This window comes from Homo sapiens, chromosome 11 (genome assembly GCF_000001405.40).
Source record: "Homo sapiens chromosome 11, GRCh38.p14 Primary Assembly".
Lineage (NCBI taxonomy): Eukaryota > Metazoa > Chordata > Mammalia > Primates > Hominidae > Homo > Homo sapiens.
Genome location: NC_000011.10, coordinates 12,003,041 through 12,010,978, shown reverse-complemented (window position 1 = coordinate 12,010,978; position 7,938 = coordinate 12,003,041). Strand labels below are relative to the sequence as shown.

The 7,938-nt window shown below is 51.7% G+C and overlaps 1 protein-coding gene across 8 annotated transcripts in view, besides 1 other annotated feature; it reads left to right on the top strand.

Annotated features, from left to right (window-relative positions):
- Positions 1 to 1,233: 1,233 nt before the first annotated feature.
- DKK3 (dickkopf Wnt signaling pathway inhibitor 3) overlaps positions 1,234 to 7,938 on the top strand; it is a 46,710-nt gene continuing 40,005 nt past the window's right edge. For 2 of the 8 annotated variants that reach the window (XM_047426775.1, XM_047426774.1), the window contains exons 1-2: positions 1,234 to 1,341; positions 2,371 to 2,609. In XM_047426775.1, the coding sequence (XP_047282731.1) occupies positions 2,397 to 2,609 (213 nt within the window). In that variant the 5' untranslated portion in view covers positions 1,234 to 1,341; positions 2,371 to 2,396. Of the gene's footprint in view, positions 1,342 to 1,642; positions 1,808 to 1,838; positions 2,110 to 2,352; positions 2,610 to 7,938 lie in introns of those variants that run through there. The other 6 variants (NM_013253.5, NM_001330220.3, XM_006718178.3 and 3 more) reach the window with 4 other exon arrangements.
- Positions 3,166 to 4,101: an enhancer, noted in NCBI's record as "H3K4me1 hESC enhancer chr11:12028425-12029360 (GRCh37/hg19 assembly coordinates)". NCBI's record gives its function as "activates a minimal SCP1, AML or CMV promoter by ChIP-STARR-seq in primed H9 embryonic stem cells {active_cell/tissue: H9 hESC(primed)}" and the evidence as "EXISTENCE:reporter gene assay evidence [ECO:0000049][PMID:30033119]".

The following is a 7,938-nucleotide window of genomic DNA, read 5'->3' as shown; positions in this document are numbered from 1 at the left end:
TTGTCCAGATCTGGTTTGGGCTCATCTCTACAGCTGGCCCCAGGGCTTTTCCTTCGAGCCCATGAATGTCTCAGGCTGGTGCGCGGACTGGCATGGAGCTGGGCAGGAAGACCACTTATATTTGAGACCTGTAGATTTTCTTACCGTTTCTTCTCTCTCCCTTTCTTTCTTTCTTTCTTTCTTTCTTTCTTTCTTTCTTTCTTTCTTTCTTTCTTTCTTTCTTTCTTTTCTTTCTTTCTCTCTTTCTCTTTCTCTCTTTCTTTCCTTCTTTTCTTTCCTTTCTTTTTTTCGTTTGTAGTTTAACCTAATAATTGAACTACTGATAAATTATTACATTTGGGAATACAAAATGTAGACTCCACACAAGAAAACAAGCGTCCCTTTGCCTGACACTTGGGGCAGTTCGATATAGAGAGATTTTTAGGTTGACTCTGAAAGTCAAGACCTCCAGACCGCATGGTAGAAGGTGTAAGGCAGAAGACAATCTCAGCTGGGGAAATTCCTGGTCTTTAAGCCAGCAACATGAAGGACTGGAAGAGCATGATGTGCTCTGTAAACCCGCAGCACTGCATTTCCTAGCTCGGCCCCACAATATGCCCCCACAGCACCCTCCAGTTCGGCATTAGTTTCTTCCTAATGTCCACTCTGCCCGAAGTGACAAGCGGGGGCATGTGGAGACTCAGCTCCAGGTTCCTGGACGGGCTCAGCCACCCCCAGAAAGCTAATGAATGCTCAACCAGGGCTTCCAGATGCCCAGGGGACAGAGCAGGAGATGCCGGGGAATGGGGCTTTCCTTGCAGTTCAGGAGGGCCCTGCCCCAGGCCCAGAAGTAGAAGGGAAAGCGGCTGTTTTGGCGGTAAACAGTAATGTGGGGAGTGCTGCAGAGAAAGGCAGTCTTGGGGTTTCAAGCTGGAGAGCAGTCAGCTACACTCAGGACCTCTGGCCATCCCTGCCTTCACCTGCTGTTTGGCCTGATCGTCTAACTTCTCTGATTCTCCACTACCCACTCCTTATTACGTTTTTGAGACTTGTCAAAGTTTTATATTAGGGCTAACTGGGACGCATACAAATCTGGTAACTTCGCCAGGGCGGGAAGTTAGGAAGGAGCAGAGCTGGCTGCAGGTGTCTGGTCCTGACCACTCCTCTATGCCACCCTTGAGGAGCTTGCTGACTTTCTCATGACGTTCTCCCATTCCAGGAGCTGCAAGTGCGTTATCCTGGCTGGAGCACGGTGTCAATCACGGCAGACTAAGGCCAGCGGTGATGGCTTGAATGCCAGGCTGGGGGCTGGGATTTTTCCTGAGGATTTCACAGGACAGAGGTTGGCTTGGAAAGACCAAGGTGGGACTGAGGAACATTCCCCCTACCCCCAACCTCGGTGGGCTGTTGCAAGCCTGGAGGCCAGAGAAGACGGGCCTGGGATGCCGCGGGCGCAGGGGCAGGCAGTGAAGGAGATGGCTGCCTTCGGTAGAGCTGGTCGCTGAGGCAGAAGAGGAGGGCGTGGGGCGTGGGGCGTGAGGTGGCCGGCGCCCCGGCTGGCCAATGGCCGGGCTGCGGCCCCTCCGCGGGGCGGGGTGGGCCTGGTGGGCGGGCGGGGCTCGGGGCGGGGGCGGAGAGGGAGCCTGGTGGGCGGGCGGGGCGCGTCTTGCGGGCTCCCTCGGGTACCGGCGCTGCCGCACCCCGCCGCGCTCCCGCACCCGCGGCCCGCCCACCGCGCCGCTCCCGCATCTGCACCCGCAGCCCGGCGGCCTCCCGGCGGGAGCGAGCAGATCCAGTCCGGCCCGCAGCGCAACTCGGTCCAGTCGGGGTGGGTGAGGGGCGGCGGCGGGGGAGGGGACGACTCTGCTGAGCTCAGCCTCTCTTGGTGGATGTGGGGCGGGGCGCTCGAGTAGGACCCGACGCCAAGGGGAGGGGGCTGACCTGTGCTTGGTCCACCCCAGGTAGGGGCTGAGAGAGGCTTGAGGTGGAAGTGGGGGTCGGGCACTCTGACCTGGTCGAGGAGGGGCTAGGGTTTGAACCGGGGACAGAGTCTAGGTGAGCTGGGGCTTGGGAGCTATTAGCGTAGAGGATCCGGGTTCGGTTGCTCTGGCGAGGGCTCCAGCATCACAGGTGAGGAGCAGAGCTCAGCTTGTGCTCGAGGATGGGGGTGCGGGGTCCTGGGGCGATCGGGGCTCGGGCTGGAGCGGGTGGGGTCGCGTCTTTTCGGGTGTAGGGGAGCTGCGTTTTCAGGGGCCTCGGTTTCCTCCCGTCTCCGGGCGGGTGCGGGAAAGAGGGGCGCCAGGGGCGGGCGGCGGGGCGGAACGGGGCGGGGCGGCGGGCCCAGCGAGGGGGGTGGTCCGCGCGCCTCTGATCGCGTTCCGGGACACACAGGCGGCGGCTGCGGGCGCAGAGCGGAGATGCAGCGGCTTGGGGCCACCCTGCTGTGCCTGCTGCTGGCGGCGGCGGTCCCCACGGCCCCCGCGCCCGCTCCGACGGCGACCTCGGCTCCAGTCAAGCCCGGCCCGGCTCTCAGCTACCCGCAGGAGGAGGCCACCCTCAATGAGATGTTCCGCGAGGTTGAGGAACTGATGGAGGACACGCAGCACAAATTGCGCAGCGCGGTGGAAGAGGTGGGTGCGCCCTGGCGGCGCGGGGCTCTGAGAAGCGCCAGACTGGGGGCAGCGAAGTCTGGGAAGGCATGGAAGAGCGCTGGCCAGGGACCTCGGGTCCCGCGCAGGGCCTGGGAAGGGCCGACAGCAGATGCGGAGTGACCTGGAGGCAGCGCACGGTGATCCCTACTCCCGCCTCGTTTTGCCTCCTTGCCAAAAAGTCTGGATCTGAGCCTGTCCACCGAGAGGCTCTGCACTGGACCCTCCCTAGGTAGCTGGGGCCACCACCTGCCTGCAGTTGGCGTCAGGCATGCCGTTGGCCTTCCCTATTGTCAGCAGAGGTTTGCAGGGCCCCTGGTATTCCAGCACTGTGGTTTCACAGAAACCCGGGACAAGCTCCAGGCATCGCCAAGTTCTAGCTTGTCCGTTATGCTTTGAGCTTGTTAGGATGCCATGCAGGGACAAAGAGGCAAAGAGCCCTGAGCTTTGCTGGCAGTCTGTCTGGGCTGTCTTGCTTCTCACGCAATGTGGGGGCAGAGAGGGAAGATGGAAATCCTAAATCTCAGCACTGTATGAGTGGCGGATGAGGATGTGAGAGGCAATACCCCCTCCACCCAACGGTGCTTCGCAGTTGTCCTGGGCTCAGGTCCTCCTCTGCCACTCAGTAGCAGGGTGACATTGGGCAAATCACTTAATATCCTGCACCTCAGTTTCCTGTGAAAACTAAATGTCATATGTGTGGGCACCTGGCAAATAATAGGTGCGCAGTATTTAGCAACTATTATCAGATACCACGTACCTTAGCAAAGCTTTGCCTAGCTTCTGCCCTCCATCACCTCCAGGTCTAAACACTGTGGGTGGCATCTTGTTCTGTCCTCTGTGATGGTCACCCACGCATGCCCAGGGCTACCTGGGCAGGAGATGTCACTGGCCCAGCCCTCTCTGTCCAGGTGCGGGGAGCTGTCCCTGGTGCCTGGGGTGGGTAGACGAGGGCGCTGTTGGGCCCAATCTGTCTGTAGCCTGTGTCTATAGAGAGGAGCCAGCCGTCCTAGTGAAGGAGGCAGCAGGAAACCAATGTCCAGGCTGGTTGGCCCCTGGTCTGGCTTCACATCCCTGCTGTCTCCAGCTTGGTATCCCCCTTGGGCAAAGCCTTAACTGCTGGCCCTTGTCTCCAGGGGGAAGTTGCTTTCTCCCCGCAGCCCTTTGTAGTTTGGGGCTATTTCCCCTCCCACTCCACAACAGTTAGCCTGTGGAGTTTGCAGTGAAGGGGACACTGGCTTGGGAGGCAGTGAAATGGGCAGCTGTCCTTGAATATCCACTGGACAGGCCCAGATCCCAAGACCCATGATCTTTCTGTTTCCTGTGATTGCAAAACAATCATGACATGGAGCAATTAAAGGGTGAAGGGATTCAGATAGGCCCCAATGTCTCTTAACTCTGAAGCTTCAAATTAAGTGGAGTTTGCGATGCCTCTGGTTCTAGGGCAGGCCATCTGCTTTCCTTATCCAGGTTCTAGGACTTTCCCTCCTGCACACAGATTCCCGGTAAGACTGACTAAGTCACCTCTATGTTTTTGTGCCCACCACTGTTCAGAAAGTCTGCAGCGTGGTCCTCTGACGTTAGCTTCTGCTGAGGGAGGAGAGAGAGCAGCAAGGGCCTCTTCAGTCTCTTCTTGAGCAGAGCAGTGTGGGGCCCTGCAGGACCTAGTGACGGGGTCTTCTCCATGGGCGTTATCCAGACTGGATTTTGCCAAGACCCCAGCTTTCCTCCCTCTAGATGTGGCTCTGTGTAGGTTGGGGGGTTGAAGTTTGCCACCAGAGGAGATGTGGGCTGTCACTTCTACCCCACTCTTTCCCAGAGGTGTCCTCGCTGGCAGTGGGTACAGGATGAGAGAGGTTGAACACCATGGCAGGAGAAGAGGCAGTGGGGACTGATCTTCCCTCATCCAGTCCCTGCTCTGCCACTTACTGGCAGTGGCGTTCCGAGTCTGAAGTGGAGAAATGTCCACCTCTTAGGGTAAGGTGAGAATTAAATGAGATGCTGCAAGTAAAGCAAATCAGTGAGTTGGGCAGCTATCCCTGAATATCCACTGGTCAGGTCAAGAGCCCAAGATCCATGATCTTTGTTTCCTGTGATTGTGAAACTATCATGACATGGAACAATTAAAGGGTGAAGGGAGTCATATAGGCCCCAATGTCTCTTAATTCTGCAGCTTCACATTAAATTGAGCTTGTGATGCCTGTGGTTCTAGGGCAGGCCATCCGCTGACTGCCTAAAATGGGGTTAAGTAAAACACGTGTAATACAGGTAGCTTCATTGTGAGGTGGCTGTAAGGATGACATGATGGTTGGTTGTAAATAAGTAACAGGTATCATTATCATCATATTACTAGTAGCAGTATGAATGATAACAAAACACCACCAGTGTCTGATAGATTCTCAATAGAATCTATCTTTTAAAATATCTTAAACCATTAAAAATTAATCTTAAAATACTAAAAGTATCTTTTAGATATCTTCAAAAATAGAATACAATAGATTGTTTATAGACTGTGGTTATTAGTATTAACTTTTTATGGAGACTGCCAGAATGCCCCTTAAATCTCATAGACACAGGATAATTGGTATTTAGTCATTGTTCAGGGGAAAAATCAAAAAGGACCTGGGCCAGATGCATTATTTGTTTACATAGTTGCATCATGAATCTCCTTTCAAGTAACTTCCTGGCATTTTCAATGTTCCAGCTGAATCAAGCTGTTGAAGTTTCTTAAGGGGAAGGACAAAGCAGCTCTACTTGTACGGTCATTATTGGAAGAAGCATATCTTCAAATGGCTTCAATCTGGGATATTCCTACTTTCCTGTGTTACTATTCTATATGCTACCAATCAATGTATTCTGAAGATATAACCACTCTGTTTCTCTTCCCCTCATGGCCAGCTCTGTAACTCACTCATTTTAGAATGTTCTTACTGCCTCACCTATTTCTAGTATAAGTGCCATTTTTAATAGCATTCACATTCCTCCTCTACGAAACAGCTCCTTTTGCTTCAGACTTAAGTTTCTCTTGCTAGTGGCAATAATAGTTGCGGTTGAAATTTCCATTGTAAACTATACTTTTAGTTCATGGTGCCATTTAAGAACCGTTAGCTCATTCTGTTGAAATAACCAGTGGCTGAGCTGGGGGGAAAAGTTTTATAAAAAGACTATCTGCTCAGCCCAGAGCAAATTCTAGGTTTGGCAACTTGTCAATTATTTGAAAGCCAAACTGATCCCGATGGGAATTTTAAAAACACTAAAACATTCTCTTCTTCTGGGTGGGTCCTCTCCAGCACCTTCAGTCTTCTCTTCCCAGCTGCGTTTTTTTCTATCACTAACCAGAGTGGTAACTGAGGGCAAGGTCTCTTGCTTTTAAGGAAAGTCATTTTCTTGCCCATTCTGTCTTCTATCTCAGCCCCATTTCTTCTCCCCTTTGTTGGCAAGCTCTTCAAACACATGATATCAACGTTTGCTCTTCCTGCTTCTAGCTACCCATTCCCTTCAGAACTCTGGCAAAACAAACTGGCTTCTTTTGAAACTGCCTTCTTAAAGGGCAACGGGATAAAAACAGCTGTGTATTTCATCTTTGCTGTGTGGCAGATAGTGTATTTCATGCCTTAATTCTTATATCTACTGCATGGTCCTTAATTCTTATATCTACTCAACAAAGTAGGACATCCCTATTTTACAAATGAGCAAGCTGAGGTTTAGTGGGATTTGGTATCTTGCCTAAAGTCATACAGCTACTTTGTGGCAGAGCCAGGACTTGAACCCACCTTGTCTGACTCCAGAATCCTGGTACTTTCCACTGTGTTCCTCTCCGAGGATGCTGCAGGCAATGACTTGACTCATCCAGTGGCCATCTCTCAGTGGCTTGATCCTTCTAGACTTACTTAGAGTCTTTCCCACCTAGAAGGTCCCTACCCAGAAGTAGCTCCCATCTCCTAGACCTAATTCTAGCCAGTTTCCTGACTCCCCTCTCTTTCTGATCTACTCTTTATATTATTTCCCGCTAGCCTTCTGGAACTTGCTGTAGTTCCCTATTGCCTGGAACGGAGATTCTTAACTGGGGATCAGAGGGAGGGGAGGGAAATCCTCAGAATAAGCTGAGAAGCTCAGTATTATCAGGGTCTCATCTCTAGAAATCCCAATTCAGCGGGTCCATGAAGGGATCCAGATATTTCAATTTTTTAAACTTTTGGACCTGACTCTATAATCACAGCTTCCCCATAAGGTTGCTGTCAATATTCAAGGCATCTGGTGCAACGATTCAGACATAGTCAATGCCCCAAACGTGGGGGCTATTCTTAGAATTATTATTGTTATGAAGCCAGTGATCAAGTTTCAAACATCTCAGCAGCCATCTCAGAATCCAGCACAGAATCCGGCCACTGACTAAGTCCTTGTTGAGCCTTTCTGCCTACCAGGTTTTATTCACACTTTGAGTTTAGTGTTTTTGTGTTGCATTGAGACATGAGGATTCTTTCCTCTTATCCTCCTCAGCTCAGCAAACCTGGTGGTTAAAGCAGGGGCTCATCTAGTACTTAAGGGGATAGAGGACAGTGATTTTTTTAAATAGGAAAATACTTTTTGAGCATTCTTTTTTTAAAAAAAAAAATAAAAATAGCCCATAGTCAAAAATAGCAGTGTTGGAAAATTGCCAACTATCAGGTAGAACTTCTCTTTATGTCTCTCATTTGAAATTCCTAGAGAGAGTATCTGATTGGCTCAATTAGTCTATGATGTGGCCTCCCTTTGGGTCCCATCAGCTGTGAACAGGTCACATTGTCAACTGCCCACTCATCAGGGCCAGGACAGGGTGATAAATCTGGAAGGGGAAGTTGGGTGCAGATATGAGGTCACTGACATATCTGGTATAGATGTTATGGAGGATCATGAGCCTGGAGGATTTGAGGACAGCGGCCACAGAAACCTGACACCAGAGAAGAACATATGTCTAAGAAAACCAGAAGGGGTGTGGACCCCGGGAACTGGTTAACTGACCCTCTACAAGGGTCCCTCTGCAAGGATTTCCTACAAGGGTACCCAAGAGGCAGGGTGGGGAAGGAGACACAGCTGTGGCCCTACCTACAGGGAGTAAGTTTAGGTTCCCTCCATCCCCTGCCCCTACCACCACCAACAACAGGTCCTGCCACAAGGACTTAAGAGCAAATAGTGCATTTGGGATGTGCTCCCAGAAAACACTAGCAGGAAGTGGGAAAGTGTGATGAAAGAAAAGAAAGACAATCAACGGTATGCCTGCAAGCAGGTTACTGCTGCGGGCATCTAGGGCTCCATCCCACTGGAGGCCTTA